The sequence below is a fragment of the Homo sapiens genome, chromosome 1 (assembly GCF_000001405.40).
Source record: "Homo sapiens chromosome 1, GRCh38.p14 Primary Assembly".
Classification (NCBI taxonomy): Eukaryota; Metazoa; Chordata; class Mammalia; order Primates; family Hominidae; genus Homo; species Homo sapiens.
This window is the reverse complement of record NC_000001.11, coordinates 58,479,724-58,500,541: the sequence shown is the minus strand read 5'-3', so window position 1 is coordinate 58,500,541 and position 20,818 is coordinate 58,479,724. Positions and strand designations below refer to the sequence as shown.

The window sequence follows — 20,818 nt, the reverse complement described above, 5'->3', positions numbered from 1 at the left end:
ATTCATATTAATCTCATTTTATTTTGAATCCTTTATACTTTCAGGAAGCTAGGGGTTTGAACTCGTGTAAATCATTCTTACACGTTTATAATTGGACAAAGTAAATGAATAAATCATTAATATTATACATCTCATGAGCAGAAAACATGAGTGTTTAACATTGAAGTGAAATGTCGTTGTTGGCCAGTGTACACAAACATACACTGTTCACCTTACAGAATTTCATTTTGTCTGACATAGAGAGTGTTGAGGAAAAGGCAAATATCATAGCAGCTGCTGTAATTGAATTGGCTTCTGAATCATATAAAGCCAGGAAGCCTGACAGTAACATTGTCTAAACCCTTAAAAAAAATATTATGGTGCATGTGATGTGTATCTACTTGAGGCTGAAATGAATGGGCTATTAGAAAAAATTGCTTTTGAGGGGAAAGGGGAAAGTAATGATATTTTAGAAAAACATGCTAAAAATAGAGGTGATTTTTTTCCCTCTTGAAATGTCTTGCTTTCTGTTTTCAAAGGAAGCTTTTAATCCAGTCGTGAAGACTCTCTGGCATTAATTTTTGTCCATTTTTTTCTTCTTTTTTTAAACTTACTTTTACTTTTTGTGAATAAGTAGTTGATGTTTTACTTGATATGTAATACCTGTCAGAATACTGATGTGTATTAGCAGTTGTTTCATAAATACTTTAGTTGTTACTGGGAATAAATATAGCCAGTTTTTTTTTCAATACAAGTGTTTATTTTTTATTTACTTTAACTAATTTTTAAAATTTTTTATATATTTATGGAGTCCAGCATGATGTTTCAATATCTGTATACATTGTGTAATGGTTAAATCAAACCAACTAAGATATTAATCACCTCACATACTTACTTTTTGTGGCAAGAATGTTTAAAATCTATTCTCTTAGCAATTTTCAAATATACAGTACATTTTTATTAACTGTAGTAACAATGCTGTGTAGTAGATCTCCAGAAGCTACTTTTCCTGACTGAAAGTTTATACTTTTTAATATCTATCTATCTATCTATTTATCTATCTATCTATCTATCTATCTATCTATAGTCTGGCTTTGTTCCCTAGGCTGGAGTGCAGTGGTGGAATCATAGTTCACTGCAGCTTTGAAGTCCTGGGCTAAAGCAATTTTCCCACTTCAGCCTCCAGAGTAGCTAGGACTATAGGAATGTACCACAATGCCTGGCCTTTTTTTTTTTTTTTTTTTTTTTGTAGAGATGTGGTCTTGCTGTGTTGCCCTGGCTGGCAAAACTTCATACTTTTTGACCAACACCTCCTGATTCCTACTCCCCGATCCCCAGCCTGTGGTAATCATTATTCTACTCACAATTTCTCTGAGTTGGACTTTTTTAGATTCCATATATAAGTGAGACTGTATAGTATTTTTCTTTCTGTACCTGGCTTATTTCACTTAGCATAATGTCCTCCAGATTTATCCATACTGTTACAAATGGTAGGATTTTATCATGTTCATATTTTAGGAATGGTTGATTATAAAATGTTTTTATAGGTTTGTTTGAAAACCTTTTCTAATTATTTTATCATTCCAGAGGATAATTGTCCTATGTCAAGGTGGCCTTAATTTTTAATTTTTTGTATTTACTTTAAATTATTTACGTCAGTTATTTATACTTATTTACTTTAGAACACTTCAAAAACTAGTCAGAATCCAATTTCCATTGCAGTGTTTGTGAAAGGAAATGAAATGAATTAAAGAATAATTTTTTTAAAAGATGAAATCATGAATCATTCAAATATAAAATGAACACATCTCTGAGATTTTATTTAACTCATTAATGAGGGAAACTGTAATATGTTACAACTAGTTCAAAAGAGAATTCAAGAAACATAGTTATATAGGCAAGAAGGAATGCTGAAATGTCTTAGAGATTTCCTTTATAGAGTTTTTGTTCTGTTAATAAGTAGCCATATAGGCATTATCCTTGTTGTATTTCTTTTCTGTCTTTTAAAGTAGTTACCCACTATTCTCTCTAATTTCTGTTAAATCTATTGCATAGTGAGTCTTTGGATTAGGGCCATTGACACCTAACTCCTTAGGCCTTCTTAAAAGTATATGCTTGCTTTTAGAAATTAAGGGAGAGAGTTGGAAATAGAGGTGGTAGTAAAGGGACTAGTTTCATTTTCCAGGAGAAATATTTAAAATTTAAACCTCTCATGAGCCATTTAGAACTAAAAACAGTTGTAAAATCAAGGGTGAAGTTATAGGAATGCAAAAATGGTAGAGGAGAATGGAAGACAATGGAAAAAGTTGTTTTTTTTTTTTAACTTTTAGTTTTACCATTATTATAAATGTTTAAAATACATGTCAAGATAGAGAATAATTTGAATAGCTTAATGAGCCCCTATTTTTCACCCACTGATATTGAACAGTATAATCCTTTTATACACTTGCTTCATCTGTCCCATCTCTGTTTTTCTCAGAAGTATTTTGATATAAAGCCCAGATATCAGGGCCTTATAGGGGAGGAGAAAATAATTTTCTCTCTATGCTTCATAGTTCTTAGTTGAGATGAACCCCTGTATTAAAAGACAGATTAACAAGAGGGAAATGGAAGCTTTTTAACATGTATACTTCCTGTATACCTGGGAGATACCCATGGAATGAATAATTCTCCAAGAGGTGGCTTTGAGTTCAGGTGTAAATACCATCTTCAACTGAAACTAAGACAGAAAGGTGCAGGGAAAGCCGCCACGTTGTAGAGAGGTGGTCAGGAAAAGCAGTGAGCAAGGGTAAGGTTTGTTATGTAGATTGTACCTTCTTTGTTGATAAGAGTTTCCAGTGATTTAGAGTCATCCTTCTCTTTCTGGTACAGAGAGGGAGACATACTTGCAAATTAGAGATTTCCTTCGTAGATACATATTTCTCTGAGAAAACGGTAACTTCTTCTTCCTGTTTTCAGAACTTCCCCTATGTCTGCTATTGCCCAAAATAATTAGTAGAAAATAACTCTTATGCTAAAGAGGCATATTTGGGGTGGCATAGTCTGGTCTCCTGGAGTCTTATTTTGGAATGATATGTCCTGAACTCCATCAACTTTAGTATGCATTTCAGAAAGTAGTATCATTTTCTTCCATAATCATAACATTATCATGCCTAAGGAAACTCATAGTAATTCCTTAAAATTAAATATTCTGTCTACATCAGATTTCTGTATCTCAGCAGTGTTACAGTTGGCCTGTTTAAATTAGGATACTTCATGATCCACACATTGCATTTGGTCCTTACGTCCCTAAAGTCCTTTTGACTTTAGGACAGTACCCCCCTCCCTTTTGTTTTGTTTGTTTTAAAACTTGTCATTGAATTGGTGAGTACATATAATCCCACATTGTAGATTCTGGATTAACTTGATTGCTTCTTCGTGGTATTTCTAACTTGTTTCTATATATACCTGTAAATAGAGATTAAATTTTGGGAAGGATATTTTATAGGTGATGCAACTAAGCTTCATAGTGCTTTGCATTGGAAGTCTCTTAATACCTGGCTGCCCCACATCTGGTGATGCTGAAGGCCATCAGTGGGTTGGATGGTGATGGCCTGGTTCTTTGTTTGCAAAGGTGGTTTTCTTCCTTGTGGCCAGCAAGTGATTGTGGGGTGATAATTTAGCACCACCCTGCAAATAATCAGTTTTCAAACAACCTGAGAAATGTGTCTTCACGAGAAATCTATGTAGAATCTATTTAGAACTCAGACCAGCCAAATTAACCCTAATGGAATAAAAGATGTTGCAGACACTTTTATCTTATTCAGGAATAGACTTAAGAGGTAGGTAAGAGAGACTTTTAAAAAATCAGAACGGTAAGTGTACAAGAGTTGGAAAAACAGAGTTGAAAGGAAAAATGAGGATAATCTTATTTAAAAGATTATTGAATGTCTAAGTGCCTTTAATAACTCCACAAGGACCCTCATGTAAACAAAATTCAGCAATAGCAACAAAACAAAGCCTCTGAAATGCTCATTGTTCCCCAGTGAGATAAGCTTTAAAGAGCAGAAATACGAAAAACAAAACCAAATCTCAAGTCAAACTTAAAAATGTTACTTTATGGGAGAGGACAGGCAAGGCGGCAAGAACATAGAAGCAGTGCCACCTGAAGCTGGCATGATAAGGTTGATTTAACTGCACTGAAAGTGACAGAATCTGAAAGAACGACTTTACAAATGTAAGATAAATCCATTTCAGAAAATTGTTAAACTTGTGAATTCAACAGAGAAGCTGTAAAACTTTCGGTGGAGGCTGTAAAGAGCAGAATTGATACCTCAGAGCAAAGACTCATTGATGCGGAAGATAGAGGAACATAGCACAACCAAATTAAAATGCCCAAAGCCAAAAAAAAAAAGTCTAAAAAAATGAAAGAATATTGAAAAGGCACCAGGAAATCCAAGCTGCATATAACAATGGGAAAGATACATTTGTACATGTCTTCATTTCTTTGATTGTGGTTTCTATATCATATTTTTTTATTTAGTTAACATTTCTCAAGATGGGTTTTTAGGAGATTCCCAGAGTATCATCCATGGGAAGCCCTGAAATGACAAGCTTAGATATTTAAACTTATGAAGTGTTTAATCTTCATTGCAAAGACAGGCTTTTACAAGCTACCTAGGTAAAAAGGCATACAAGAGTAAGAATGACTCTGGACCTTTCTTTTCATAAGCATAAGGAAGATATTTCTTTCCTCCTAAGTTCTTATACTTCTTGCTGTTGGAGGAAGTGTAAGAGTTTTGGAGGAAAGAAACAAAACAAAAAACAGTGGAACTAATACACTTTGGTATGATATCTACAAAAACTAACTTTTTTTTTTTTTATGGTGGAAGATCCTTAGCAAATGAAACACATAGGACAATATGTCAGTGAAGTTCTTGGTTGCAACAGTGCTCTTTCCAGAATCTACTGACAATCAGGAATTAGATAAAATATACAGTTTTGTTTGTTTAAATATAATTGTAACTAGCTTGCACCCTGCCATTGTTAGAAAACCACAGATCAAGTAAGGAACTACCAAAAAATTCAGCTGAATAATATGAAAAATAAAATTTAAGTGGCATGAGAAACTAAATCCTAAAAAAAGGAATGTATTATTATTATTATTATACTTTAAGTTTTAGGGTACATGTGCACAACATGCAGGTGTGTTACATATATATACATGTGCCATGTTGGTGTGCTGCACCCATTAACTCGTCATTTAACATTAGGTATATCTCCTAATGCTATCCCTCCCTCCTCCTCCCACCCCACAACAGACCCCTGTGTGTGATGTTCCCCTTCCTGTGTCCATGTGTTCTCATTGTTCTGTTCCCACCTATGAGTGAGAACCTGCAGTGTTTAGTTTTTTGTCCTTGCAATAGTTTGCTGAGAATGATGGTTTCCAGCTTTATCCATGTCCCTACAAAGGACATGAACTCATCCTTTTTTATGGCTGCATAGTATTCCATGCTGTATATGTGCCACATTTTCTTAATCCAGTCTATCATTGTTGGACGTTTGGGTTGGTTCCAAGTCTTTGCTATTGTGAATAGTGCTGCAATAAACATACGTGTGCATGTGTCTTTATAGCAGCATGATTTATAATCCTTTAGGTATATACCCAGTAATGCGATGGCTGGGTCAAATGGTATTTCTAGTTCTAGATCCCTGAGGAATCGCCACACTGACTTCCACAATGTTTGAACTAGTTTACAGTCCCACCAACAGTGTAAAGGTGTTCCTATTTCTCCACATCCTCTCCAGCACCTGTAGTTTCCTGACTTTTTAATGATCGCCATTCTAACTGGTGTGAGATGGTATCTCATTGTGGTTTTGATTTGCATTTCTCTGATGGCCAGTGATGATGAGCATTTTTTCATGTGTCTTTTGGCTGCATAAATGTCTTCTTTTGAGAAGTGTCTGTTCATATCCTTCACCCACTTTTTGATGGGGTTGTTTGTTTTTTTCTTGTAAATTTGTTTGAGTTCATTGTAGATTCTGGATATTAGCCCTTTGTCAGTTGAGTAGATTGCAAAAATTTTCTCCCATTCTGTAGGTTGCCTGTTCACTCTGATGGTAGTTTCTTTTGCTGTGCAGAAGCTCTTTAGTTTAATTAGATCCCATTTATCAATTTTGGCTTTTGTTGCCATTGCTTTTGGTGTTTTAGACATGAAGTCCTTGCCCATGCCTATGTCCTGAATGGTATTGCCTAGGTTTTCTTCTAGGGTTTTTATGGTTTTAGGTCTAACATTTAAGTCTTTAATCCATCTTGAATTAATTTTAGTATAAGGTGTAAGGAAGGGATCCAGTTTCAGCTTTCTCCATATGGCTAGCCAGTTTTCCCAGCACCATTTATTAAAGAGGGAATCCTTTCCCCATTTCTTATTTTTGTCAGGTTTGTCAAAGATCAGATAGTTGTAGACATGTGGCATTATTTCTGAGGGCTCTGTTCTGTTCCAATGGTCTATATCTCTGTTTTGGTACCAGTACCATGCTGTTTTGGTTACTGTAGCCTTGTAGTATAGTTTGAAGTCAGGTAGCATGATGCCTCCAGCTTTGTTCTTTTTGCTTAGGATTGACTTGGCAATGAGGGCTCTTTTTTGGTACCATATGAACTTTAAAGTAGTTTTTTCCAATTCTGTGAAGAAAGTCATTGGTAGCTTGATGGGGATGGCATTGAATCTATAAATTACCTTGGGCAGTATGGCCATTTTCACCATATTGATTCTTCCTACCCATGAGCATGGAATGTTCTTCCATTTGTTTGTATCCTCTTTTATTTCCTTGAGCAGTGGTTTGTAGTTCTCCTTGAAGAGGTCCTTCACATCCCTTGTAAGTTGGATTCCTAGCTATTTTATTCTCTTTGAAGCAATTGTGAATGGGAGTTCACTCATGATTTGGCTCTCTGTTTGTCTGTTATTGGTGTATAAGAATGCTTGTGATTTTTGCACATTGATTTTGTATCCTGAGACTTTGCTGAAGTTGCTTATCAGCTTAAGGAGATTTTGGGCTGAGACGATGGGGTTTTCTAGATATACAATCATGTCATCTGCAAACAGGGACAATTTGACTTGCTCTTTTCCTAATTGAATACCCTTTATTTCTTTCTCTTGCCTGATTGCCCTGGCCAGAACTTCCAACACTATGTTGAATAGGAGTGGTGAGAGAGGGCATCCCTGTCTTGTGCCAGTTTTCAAAGGGAATGCTTCCAATTTTTGCCCATTCAGTATGATATTGGCTGTGAGTTTGTCATAAATAGCTCTTACTATTTTGAGATACGTCCCATCAATACCTAATTTATTGAGAGTTTTTAGCATGAAGGGCTGTTGAATTTTGTCAAAGGCCTTTTCTGCATCTATTGAGATAATCATGTGGTTTTTCTCGTTGGTTCTGTTTATATGCTGGATTACGTTTATTGATTTGCGTATGTTGAACCAGCCTTGCATCCCAGGGATGAAGCCCACTTGATCATGGTGGATAAGCTTTTCGATGTGCTGCTGGATTTGGTTTGCCAGTATTTTATTGAGGATTTTTGCATTGATGTTCATCAGGGATATTGGTCTAAAATTCTCTTTTTTTGTTGTGTCTCTGCCAGGCTTTGGTATCAGGATGATGCTGGCCTCATAAAATGAGTTAGGGAGGATTCTCTCTTTTTCTGTTGATTGGAATAGTTTCAGAAGGAATGGTACCAGCTCCTTCTTGTACCTCTGGTAGAATTCGGCTGTGAATCCATCTGGTCCTGGACTTTTTTTGGTTGGTAAGCTATTAATTATTGCCCCAATTTCAGATCCTGTTATTGGTCTCTTCAGAGATTCAACTTCTTCCTGGTTTAGTCTTGGGAGACTGTATGTGTCCAGGAATTTATCCATTTCTTCCAGATTTTCTAGTTTATTTGTGTAGAGGTGTTTATAGTATTCTCTGATGGTAGTTTGTATTTCTGTGGGATCGGTGGTGATATCCCCTTTATCATTTTTTATTGTGTCTATTTGATTCTTCTCTCTTTTCCTGTTTATTAGTCTTGCTAGTGGTCTATCAATTTTGTTGATCTTTTCAAAAAACCAACTCCTGGATTCATTGATTTTTTGAAGGGTTTTTTGTGTCTCTATTTCCTTCAGTTCTGCTCTGATCTTAGTTATTTTCTTGCCTTCTGCTAGCTTTTGAATGTGTTTGCTCTTGCTTCTCTAGTTCTTTTAATTGTGATGTTAGGGTGTCAATTTTAGATCTTTCCTGCTTTCTTTTGTGAGCATTTAGTGCTATAAATTTCCCTCTACACACTGCTTTGAATGTGTCTCAGAGATTCTGGTATGTTGTGTCTTTGTTCTCGTTGGTTTCAAAGAACATCTTTATTTCTGCCTTCATTTCGTTATGTACCCAGTAGTCATTCAGGAGCATGTTGTTCAGTTGCCATGTGGTTGAGTGGTTTTGAGTGGGTTTCTTAATCCTGAGTTCTAGTTTGATTGCACTGTGGTCTGAGAGACAGTTTGTTATACTTTCTGTTCTTTTAATTTGCTGAGGAGTGCTTTACTTCCAACTATGTGGTCAATTTTGGAATAGGTGTGGTGTGGTGCTGAAAAGAATGTATATTCTGTTGATTTGGGGTGGAGAGTTCTGTAGATGTCTATTAGGTCCACTTGGTGCAGAGCTGAGTTCAATTCCTGGATATCCTTGTTAACTTTTTGTCTCATTGATCTGTCTAATGTTAACAGTGGGGTGTTAAAGTCTCCCATTATTATTGTGTGGGAGTCTAAGTCACTTTGTAGGTCTCTAAGGACTTGCTTTATGAATCTGGGTGCTCCTGTATTGGGTGCATATATATTTAGGATAGTTAGCTCTTCTTGTTGAATGGATCCCTTTACCATTATGTAGTGGCCTTCTTTGTCTCTTTTGATCTTTGTTGGTTTAAAGTCTGTTTTATCAGAGACTAGGATTGCAACCCCTGCCTTTTTTTGTTTTCCATTTGCTTGGTAGATCTTCCTCCATCCTTTTATTTTGAACCTATGTGTGTCTCTGCACGTGAGATGGGTTTCCTGAATACAGCACACTGATGGGTCTTGACTCTTTATCCAATTTGCCAGTCTGTGTCTTTTGATTGGAACATTTAGCCCATTTACATTTAAGGTTAATATTGTTATGTGTGAATTTGATCCTGTCATTATGATGTTAGCTGGTTATTTTGCTCGTGAGTTGATGCAGTTTCTTCCTAGCCTTGATGGTCTTTACAATTTGGCATGTTTTTGCTGCGGCTGGTACCGGTTGTTCCTTTCCATGTTTAGTGCTTCCTTCAGGAGCTCTTGTAGGGCAGGCCTGGTGGTGACAAAATCTCTGAGCATTTGCTTGTCTGTAAAGTATTTTATTTCTCCTTCACTTATGAAGCTTAGTTTGGCTGGATATGAAATTCTGGGTTGAAAATTCTTTTCTTTAAGTATGTTGAAGGGCCGGGTGCAGTGGTTCACGCCTGTAATCTCAGCACTTTGGGAGGCTGTGGTGGGTGGATCACGAGGTCAGGAGATTGAGACCATCCTGGCTAACATGGTGAAACCCCGTCTCTACTAAAAATACAAAAAAATTTAGCCGGGCTTGGTAGCGGGTGCCTGTAGTCCCAGCTACTCGGAAGGCTGAGGCAGGAGAATGGTGTGAACCCAGGAGGCAGAGCTTGCTGTGAGCCGAGATCGCGCCACTGCACTCCAGCCTGGGCGAGAGCGAGAGTCCGTCTCAAAAAAAAAAAAAAAAAAAAAAAAAAAAAAGAATGTTGACTATTGGCCCCCACTCTCTTCTGGCTTGTAGAGTTTCTGCTGAGAGATCCGCTGTTAGTCTGATGGGCTTCCCTTTGTGGGTAACCCGACCTTTCTCTCTAGCTGCCCTTAACATTTTTTCCTTCATTTCAACTTTGGTGAATCTGACAATTATGTGTCTTGGAGTTGCTCTTCTCGAGGAGTATCTTTGTGGCATTCTCTGTATTTCCTGAATTTGAATGTTGGCCTGCCTTGCTAGATTGGGGAAGTTCTCTTGGATAATATCCTGCAGAGTGTTTTCCAACTTGGTTCCATTCTCCCTGTCACTTTCAGGTACACCAATCAGATGTAGATTTGGTCTTTTCACATAGTCCCATATTTCTTGGAGGCTTTGTTCATTTCTTTTTATTCTTTTTTCTCTAACCTTCTCTTCTTGCTTCATTTCATTAATTTCATCTTCCATCACTGATACCTTTTCTTCCAGTTGATCGAATCGGCTACTGAGGCTTGTGCATTCGTCACGTAGTTCTTGTGCCATGGTTTTCAGCTCCATCAGGTCCTTTAAGGACTTCTCTGCATTGGTTATTCTAGTTAGTCATTCGTCTAATCTTTTTTCAAGATTTTTAACTTCTTTGCCATGGGTTCGAACTTCCTCCTTTAGCTCAGAGTAGTTTGATCGTCTGAAGCATTCTTCTCTCAACTCGTCAAAGTCATTCTGCGTCCAGCTTTGTTCTGTTGCTGGTGACGAGCTGTGTTCCTTTGGAGGAGGAGAGGCACTCTGATTTTTAGAATTTTCAGTTTTTCTGCTCTGTTTTTTCCCCATCTTTATGGTTTTATCTACCTTTGGTCTTTGATGATGGTGACGTACAGATGGGGTTTTGGTGTGGATGTCCTTTCTGTTTGTTAGTTTTCCTTCTAACAGTCAGGACCCTCAGCTGCAGGTCTGTTGGAGTTTGCTGGAGGACCACTCCAGACCCTGTTTGCCTGGATATCAGCAGCGGAGGCTGCAGAACAGCGGATATTGGTGAACAGCCAATGTTGCTGCCTCATCATTCCTCTGGAAGTTTTGTCTCAGAGGAGTACCCGGCCCTGTGAGGTGTCAGTCTGCCCCTACTGGGGGGTGCCTCCCAGTTAGGCTACTCAGGGGTCAGGGACCCACTTGAGGAGGCAGTCTGTCTGTTCTCAGATCTCAAGCTGCATGCTGGGAGAACCACTACTCTCTTCTAAGCTGTCAGACAGGGACATTTAAGTCTGCAGAGGTTTCTGCTGCCTTTTGTTTGGCTATGCCCTGCCCCCAGAGGTGGAGTCTACACAGGCAGGCAGGCCTCCTTGAGCTGCAGTGGGCTCCACCCAGTTCGAGCTTCCCAGCTGCTTTGTTTACCTACTCAAGCCTCGGCAATGGCAGGCACCCCTCCCCCAGCCTCGCTGCCACCTTGCAGTTTGATCTCAGACTGCTGTGCTAGTAATGAGCGAGGCTCTGTGGGCGTAGGACCCTTTGAGCCAGGCGTGGGATATAATCTCCTGGTGTGCCGTTTGCTAAGACCGTCGGAAAATTGCAGTATTAGGGTGGGAGTGACCCAATTTTCCAGGTGCCGTCTGTTACCCCTTTCCTTGGCTAGGAAAGGGAATTCCCTGACCCGTTGCACTTCCCGGGTGACACGATGCCTTGCCCTACTTCGGCTCACGCTCGGTGCGCTGCACCGACTGTCCTGCACCCACTGGCCAACAATCCCCAGTGAGATGCACCCAGTACCTCAGTTGGAAATGGAGAAATCGTTCGTCTTCTGCGTCGCTGACGCTGGGAGCTGTAGACTGGAGCTGTTCCTATTTGGCCATCTTGGCTCCAGCAGGAATATATTTTCAAGTACACATCTTTCATGAAAATATTGATCATAAAACTTGGACAAAAATATCTGTACATAATATAAAAATGTTATGTTCTCACTGATAAGTGGGAGCTAAGCTATGAGGATGCAAAGGCATAAGACGTATACAGTGGACTTTGGGGGCTCAGGGGAAACAGTGAGAAGTGGGTGAGGGTAAAAGACTACACACTGGGGCTGGGCGTGGTGGCTCACGCCTGTAATCCCAGCACTTTTGGAGGCCGAGGCAGGAGATACCTGAGGTCGGGAGTTCAAGACCAGCCTGACCAACATGGAGAAACCCTGTCTCTACTAAAAATACAAAAATTAGCGAGACATGGTGGCTCATGCCTGTAATCCCAGCTACTCAGGAGGCTGACACAGGAGAATTGCTTGAACCTGGGAGGCAGAGGTTGCAGTGATCTGAGATCGCGCCATTGCACTCCAGTGTGAGCTACAAGAGTGAAACTCTGTCTCAAAAAAAAAGACTACACATTGGGTACAGTGTACACTGCTTGAGTGATGGGTGTACCAGAATCTCAGAAGTCACCATTTAAGAACTTTTTCACGTAACTGAACACTGCCTGTTCCCCAAAAACCTATTGAAATAATAAATAAATAAATAAAACAAAGTTATGGTTCCAATCATCAGAACATAGTATAGTAAAATTAATATAACAAAAATTAAAAGATGGATAACCACATGAAAATTAAAATTCCGCACATGTAAAGCAAAAGAGAAATCTATAAACAATAAGAGGATGGCTTGTAATCAATGAACTTTATAATGATGTAGTTATATTTTCATGAGTTTTTACTAAATCTGTATTTAAAGAAAACTTTATCAGTTTAAATGTCTATATTAGAAAAAGAGAAAAGAAATATAGAACTATAAATGTCTCAAATAGGGAAAATATAATTAATAAAATTAAGCAGAAATAAGCAAAATGACAGTAGTTGATTCTTTGGGAAATTTAGTCAAAGTCATAATCATTAGATTAGTTAGACAAAGTAAAATGTAAATAGGATCAGGAGAAGAGGTACGGTAACATGCAAGAAAACTGAAATATTTGGGAGAATGTTATTTTTAGTTAGATAATGTTAATTAATAGCTCAGGTCAAAATCAGAAGTAATTAAAGTATATGTGTGTTGAGGGGGGAGGGGAATTGCTAGAGTGGATGCAGCTAGGAGTAGAAATTATAGCTAGAATGAAGCTTCTCAAATTACTAATTTACAAATTACAAATTACTAAATTACTTTAGAAAGAAGTAAGGTATAAATAAATCAAATTTAAAAAACTATTAGAACCCATAGAGTCATAATAAATTAGCAAAGAAAAGGACGCCTAGCCCTGATGGGATTTAATTTGGAGAATTTTTTCAGAAGTTCAGAGAACAATTGCCTAGTTACTAATTAGTTCTACCTTCAAAATGTAGAAAGGTATGTTATTAAGTTTCTGATTCATTTTACAAGCATAAATGATTTTGTTTTGACAATTTGATAAAAACAATAACTTTAAAAGAATTTATGGACTGGGGTCATTAATTGACAATACGATATTATATTACAGTAATTATTTACTGTGAGCAAGTTAATTATCCTCAAATGCATGAGCAGCATCATAAAAGAAAAGCTATTAAAACAGAAGAGGAAATTTAGGACTCATCTTCAGTTCCTCTTTCCTTCACTTCTGTGTCCTATTCATGAAAAAATCTTGACTGCTTTAACAAGTACATTAAGAATCTGTGGGCTTCTCAACTTCGCCACTGCTCCTTTCCTAGTAAAAGTCACCATCATCTCCTCCCAAGTTACCGCAGTCATTTCCTGTTGTCACTTTTCACCTCACGATGTCACGTTTCACCTCAACTCCTAACAACCTATTTTCAATATGTAGCCAGAGTGATCATTGTAATGTCCTTTCCTTGGTTAAAACCCTCTAGTGGCTTCTCATCTAACTTAGAATAAAAATCCAGACTCTTCCTATGTCTTCCAGGCACGTAATTTGGCCACTGCCTAGCTCTCCAACTTCACCACATGCCCCTTTCCTTAGGCTTTCCTTGGTTTAGGAAACATACAAGACCAGGGTATGTCCCCCATTAAGCTAGTGTCCTCCTTACAGCTCTTCTACTTGCTGATTTCTCTGTCTGAAACATTCTTCCCTCAGTTCTTTAGGCAAATGTCACTGTCCTGGGGAGGCTTTCTTTGATCCCATAATCTTAAATCGCTTCCCTTCCATGTACTCATTGTCCGTCCAACACACCTCACTCTTTAGTTTCTTCATGTACTTAACTAAAATTACCTTATTTGTTTATTGGCTTTTACCCTAGTGTGTAAGGCCTTTGTACACTGCTGTATCCATAGTACCTATGAGAAGTTGAGATGATTAGTGAATATTAGTTAAATGATTGCATGATGTGTAATAATAGGCAGGATAAGCAATATAATAGTGGGTGAAAAATAGAAAAATTGGCAGTAGAATTGAACAGTCCTTCCACTCCCTTATAGAAATTTAGCATGTAGGACATTAATAGTTGGTAACGGGAGAAAGATGGTCGCAGGAAATAGTAATATAAAGATAACAGTGGTCTTAGGAGTCTTCGGTTTTAATTCTGACTCAGCCATGTAACTTGGAGAAAGTTACCTAATCCAACCTTTAGTTTTCTTCATATGTGAAATCAGGATAGCAATATCTCCTAGATGTTGGATGTACATACTTGTGCATTTCTGTAGGTAAGGTCCTGCTGTCTTCTTTGCCTTGTCCCCCTCTCTTTGGCATAGACATTTTAATGATAAGTATTTTATGTCAGGCCCAAGATTTCAAAAGTGGTTCAAATTCCAATGTCAATTTAGATGTGTAAAATACCTCACGCAGTGAAAGGCACATAGAAAGTGAACAGTAGATGTTAGTTTCTTTCACTCATAGTTGTAGTCTTTAGGCTGGCTAATTCTATATTTAACTTCAAATCTTCCTCAGGATTCTCAGAACCATATATTCTTGCTATTAAAATACATTCCTGCTTTTTCTTAAACCATAAACTCCTAAGAGTATTTTCTCTATGACATTTATCATAATGATTTATTCATAGCTGGTGTTCTATAAATGTTTGTTTAAAATTTAGCATGCGTTTGTTAAGTGCCTGTTATGTGCAGTGCGTGGAGTTAAACACAGAAAACAAAGTAAAGGAAGTGGAAAGACATATTCTAGCTATATGGTAGGAAAATTTTGCTCACTTTTGAAGAGATGAAGATATATTTAATAAGATAGATTAGAATTTATAAAAATAAAAAGACATTGGCGCCCTGAAATATATAAAATGAATATGGAAAGGAAAGGAAAAAAGAAAAAATAAGTTACCAAGACATCCAATAGAATCTTACTATGCAAAGTAGATGAAGATTTGATAGAAATATGTATGGTCATAACAGGATTCTGCTTGATAGATATTTGGGGAGGAGAAACAGTTCACACATGAAGAAGTAGTGATAGAAAACCTGTATGAAGAACATATAGTGTTTCTAGCAATTAAAGAAACCTAGCTCAGACATCTCCAAAGTACATTTATTCAGTAAAAAATTTACTCAAGAAATATCATGTGATACAAAAAAGCATGAGCACAAAAAGCATGTAGAGCAAAAGCGGTAGAAACAAAACAGGTTCTAAACCCAGCTTTTTTACTTCCAGGCCAGCTTTTTTTTTTTTTTTTTTTTTTTTTTTTAGTAGTAGACTCTTTTATTTTTAGACTCTAAAGCTTCAACTTTTAATTGAGTAGAAGGTATAGAGATTTCCCTTATACATCTGTCCCCGCATACTCACAGCCTCCCATACCATCAAAATCCCATGCCAGAGTGATAATATTAGTTACAATTGATGAACCTATGTTGACCCATCATTATCACCCAAAGTCCATTAGGGTTTACTCTTGGTGCTGTACATTCAGTGCATTTTGACAAATGTATAATGACATGTATCCACCATTATAGCATCATGCAGAGTAGTTTCACTGCCATAAAAATACACTCTGTGCCTACTCATTCCTCCCTCCCCCTAGCCCCTGGCAACCACTGATCTTTTTACTGTCTCCATAGTTGTGCCTTTTCCAGAATATCATATAGTTGGAATCATGTAGCCTTTTCAGATTGGCTTTTTTCTCTTAGCAATATACGTTTAAGGTTCCTCATATCTTTTCATGGCTTGATAGCTAATTTCTTCTTAGATCTGAATAATATTCTTTTGTCTGGATATCCCACAGTTTATCCATTCACCTATCGAAGGAAATCTTGGTTATTTCCAAGTTTTAGCAAATAAAGCTGTTAAAAACATTTACCAAGCCAGCTTTTTGTTCCTTGCCCGGCATTTAACTTCTCTGAGACTCAGTTTCCTCATCTGTAAAATTGAGCTGATATTTTCTAAGGATTCTGAGGTTTGAAATTATGTAATTATCTATATAAAAGTCATGAAATGTTATGTGAATAACTGTGAATAACTCAAGTATGCCTGTATTACTGGTGACATTAAAGGTTGATAAAGCCTTTCTGGTAGAAAGCAGTTTGGTCCTATATAACAAAAAGTATAATCTACCTGTGCTTACTCTTTGATCAGATCATTCTATTTTGGGTGTTAGACTTCACATATCTCCAAATGGAGGTGAGAAAAGATTTTTTTAAAGAAAAGTTTTTATAGCAGGGTAATTTATAAAAGCCAAATAGACACAACTGTGGGAACAATTCTAATGCCCAGTAACGGAGAAATACAAAGTAAATTACATGAGGGCAGGGACCATGACTATTCTGACCAATGTGTACCTAGCACCTTACTCACTGTGGTGTTCTAAATATTTGTTGTATTAAAAAGACTGAATAAGCGAATTTAAGGATAAGAGAAGAGTTTTTACTGAATACACAAAGATCTTAGGGGATGGCATCCTATTCCTCTCTTTGTTGCTTTGCATCTCTCATTGCCACACTCAGCTGTGCCAGTTGTTACCTGCTGGACTCCATACTCTCCCCCTTTACTGATGCCAGTGCAGTGCTTAAACATAGGCACTACACTGATATAGCAGCCATGACAGGTAAACTTCTCACTTGGGAAAGAAAATTAACATCATTGTAAAGGAACTAATGCAAGAGTGACCGTACGTCCCAATTTTGCAGAGACAGTCATGGCTCATGCCTGATGTCTCAGTGCAAATCTTGCTAGCATCTCATTTCATTCTCAAAGGTATCCCAGTTTGGACAGTAGGTCACCGTTTAGCTGAGGATCTGACTTTCTGTTTACTTAAGTGCTGTAAGTGCTATAGTTGGGAAACATTTTCTTGTTGTGTCAATTCAGTTTACTTAAACATTTACTTAACACTCACTAGATATAAGGAAATCTTAAATCTGCTGTGAAATACAAAGAAAAATAAGACAAGACCACTGCCACTGAAGAATTTCACGTTAAGTAATGTTTTTTCAACTCTCCAGCTTACCTTGGTAACTCAGAGCCTAATCAGAGCTAGAAGTGCTCCTAGACCCAAGCTTCTGCCCTGACCCCATTCACTTAGAGAACGTCTATCTGGCTCGCATCTGACTACAAGTCCCTCTCTCCTGTGGGACTCAATGAAATGTTAGCATACAAGAACCTGTGCCCCTACCATACCCCACTCAGGGTATCTGGAATAATGGAATTCCTTGCCCAGATATGTTTGAGCCTGCTTTCAGGGCCCATCTGGACCTCTTCCTTGAACACATTCACACAAGGCCCTTTACAGTGCCAGATAAGCTAGGGCTGGGAGAGGGGGCAGATGGCAGGCTAGTGGCAAGAGCTACACAGTAAGCTCCCTGCAATCTTACATGTTCTGAAATTCAAGAATTCTAGTTTTGTACCTGGACTTCCAGGTAATTTCGAATGTGTATTCTTCAAAGTAGGAGAATAGAACAGATTTTAAGTAGTAGTGTATTAGCTTGACTTACTGCTTTTAGGTGTTTAGAGACATGGTATCTGGGCCTCCATTTTCATTCTTTCCATGGACCCCACAAATATTAGAGGCAGGCTGTTTAGAGTAAAACTTAAAATCCTTAGCATGACCTGTGAGGTCCTACATAATCTGCTCCTGCCCTCCACCCTGCTCCACTCGGCTGTACCTGCTTCTTCACTGTTCCAAAACACCCCAGGCACGCTCCCATCTCCCTTGTACTCGCAGCTCCCTCTTGGAATGATTTTTCCCTAGGTTGCCACATGGTCTCTTTCCTCATGTCCTTCAGGTCTGTCCCCCTCTTGACCCCCAAAGTCATTATCCTATCAGTGAGGCCTTGCCTGGATAGTCTTTCTAAGATTTTACCAGTCCCTCAAACACTGTCTCCTTTACTGCCTTATTTACTTCCCTTAAGACACATCAGTATCAGAAAGCCAGAAGTCGTAAAAAACTGAATTAGCTTTTTCCCCTAAATGTCTTTCTTTTAAAACTCCTAAATATTAAGACCATTTATCCTTAAAAATTATTTTGGCTCTTATATCTTAAAATTATCCATATACCCACTTTGAAGAGTTAAATAGTTCTAAGGCTAGTTACTTAAATCAGCAGCCAGTCCCTCAACCCTGCCATCAGTTTCAGGGGTAACTATTTCCAATTCTATTGGACGATTCTTTTAGTATTTCCCATTGTGTCTAAATAACATGCTTATGTTGCTACATTCTAACTTCAATTTTGGGCCTTAATTATTTTCCACCTTACAGGATGAGACGTAAGCCCTCTCTTTCCAGTGTCACACCCTGTGCATGTGCACACACATGCAGCTCTCCCCTTCTCAGTATGATGAAATTGTACTTTTTGGTTTCATCAAGATTTGGTATTTTAAACTGTAAGCACTAGTCATAGCTGAGCCCCATAGTACACTGTGATTACTTTTCCTTCCTTTGCAATGTTTTATTTCTCCTGGAGTTAAAAATTGTCATGATTTTGATTTGTTTACTTTTCTAAGTATATTAGTCCATTCTCATGCTGCTAATGAAACATACCTGAGACTAGGTAATTTATGAAGGAAAGAGGTTTAATTGACTTACAGTTCCATATGGCTGAGGATGGCCTCACAATCATGGTGGAAGGCGAATGAGGAGAAAAGTCATGTCTTACATGGCGGCAGTCAAGAGAGCATATGCAGGGGGAACTGCCCTTTATAAAACCATCAGATCTCGTGAGACTTAATCACTATCATGAGAACAGCACGGGAAACACCCACCTCCATGATTCAGTTACCTCCCATGACATGTGGGAATTATGGGAACTGCAATTCAAGATGAGATTTGGGTGGAGACATATGCAAACCATATCACTAGGTTATTATCATCAATTTTACCCAAGACTGTATCAGTTATGTATATCTTTTTTCAGTATATTCAGTCATCTATGTTCTGCAGTTTTTCTTGAAAAAAATCTCTCATAGAGCCTTTTTAAATCTGAATGATTCTCCGGTCTGCTAGAGTTTAACTGAAACCATAGATGTATCTCTAAGATTTGTTTACCCTCAAAACAGCATTAGGGCAGTTGTTACAGATTATTAATACTATTGTTGTTGTTTTTAAAATAATACTATTTGACCAAATCATGAAAACAACTGTTCACTGTAGATTTTTCAGTGGTTCTCTTTTATGTGTTATAATCAAGATACCTTTTATTAAAAAAATAACAATACATTCTTTGTTTTACATGGAGCATATTAGGGATTACTGAAACAATCTGAATACATTGATGTATATATATAGTATTTTTTTATTTTATTATTTCTTTATAGGCTCTCAAAATTAGAGAGATGTGTAATTGTCCACCACTGTCTAATCCAGACCCTCGATTACTATTCAAACTCAGCACGAAGCATTTTCTTGAAGAATCAGAGAAAGAAGACCTAAATATCACGAAGAAACAGAAAATGGATACTCTTCCTATTCAAAAACAGGAGCAAATACCATTAACATACATAGTTGAGAAAAGAACGGGCAGTTGAATTAAAATTTATGAGACACAAGATATATGAAGAATGTTGCAGTCCTTATCATTTTATGTTACTTTTTAAAAAATGATGTTTGAAGTGAAAAAAAAAAGGATATTCAGGGTCAAATCATGTACATTACAGATATTATCTAAATTCTTCTAGAATTTATTTTTCATGAAATATTGATGTATTTTAATCTATGTTAAAATATCTTCAATGAGGAAAATGTCACAGAATAAATTTATATTACACATTTTACTCTGTCTTCTACTTGCTTTTGATTTAGAAGGCAGACCCCTAGTGGATGAGAAATGAGCCCATACGGTAGTTTTTATAGTAGAGAATGTTTCAACTGAGCCTAAACTGGATTTCTAAGTCTGGGTCGTTATGATGAAGGGGGAAACAGTCTGAAGGTATCTGTTTGCAGGAAATAGTTTGCATTGGGGTGGGATTATGTGGAAAAGGGGGCCTCAGGATAGAGAATTTCCTTGTCTTCACCTGTGGATGACTGGAGAAAATGCTACTGGCAGAAGCCATTTTCATAGGGAGGCAAAAGAAGTACAGTTTGTGGTTCAGATGACAAAGCAAGAAACAGAATTGGGGGAGAGGGCATTTCCACAGAGATACAGCGTGTTCCTGGTGCACTGAAATCTTAACAGAAGTTTATGTCATTTGGTTGCTCCATGAGATTACCATTTGGGAATCTCGGGTTCCCAGAGAAGAAAAAGAGGCAAAGGCAAGGCACTGTCCCTCAAAAGAGGCTGAGGCAAGGCACTGTCCCCAAGTTGACCTTCCTGAGCAGCAGATATCAACAAGACGACTGGAGGAAAACGACAAGAGAAGCAGCACAAGACATACCCCCAGTGGTGCCCAGAAATTGCTGCATTATATAAATGTGGAAATACGAGTTATTTAATATTTGTATTCCCAAACTAGTGAAGTCTAGTGATGCTTAGGTTATATTTCTAAGAAGGGCATTTTTCTTGAAATACATTATATTAAATAAATATTTTCTTAGAGAATTAAAGAGGAAAGGGACTACTTTGTATTGTGAATCTACTATGAACTGGGCCCTATATTTATCTTTATTCCATAACCCTACTAGGTTTTATTATTCTCACTTTACAATGACAAATAGGCTTCGAGAAGTTACATAATATATCCAATATCTCTCACCTAGATAGAACAAAGCTGAGTCTATCTGACTACAAATCTGTCCATTTTTTTACAACTCTCAGATATCTAAGACTAAG

General features: G+C 37.6%; 2 protein-coding genes across 2 annotated transcripts in view; both read left to right on the top strand.

Moving 5' to 3' along the window:
- Positions 1 to 19,823, top strand: part of OMA1 (OMA1 zinc metallopeptidase) — a 66,008-nt gene extending 46,185 nt beyond the window's left edge. The window contains exon 9 of the mRNA NM_145243.5: positions 19,368 to 19,823. Coding sequence (NP_660286.1) covers positions 19,368 to 19,577 — 210 coding nt within the window. The 3' untranslated portion in view covers positions 19,578 to 19,823. The remainder of the gene's footprint in view (positions 1 to 19,367) is intronic.
- Positions 1 to 20,818, top strand: part of DAB1 (DAB adaptor protein 1) — a 1,551,949-nt gene that overhangs the window by 46,185 nt on the left and 1,484,946 nt on the right. The window lies entirely within an intron of this gene.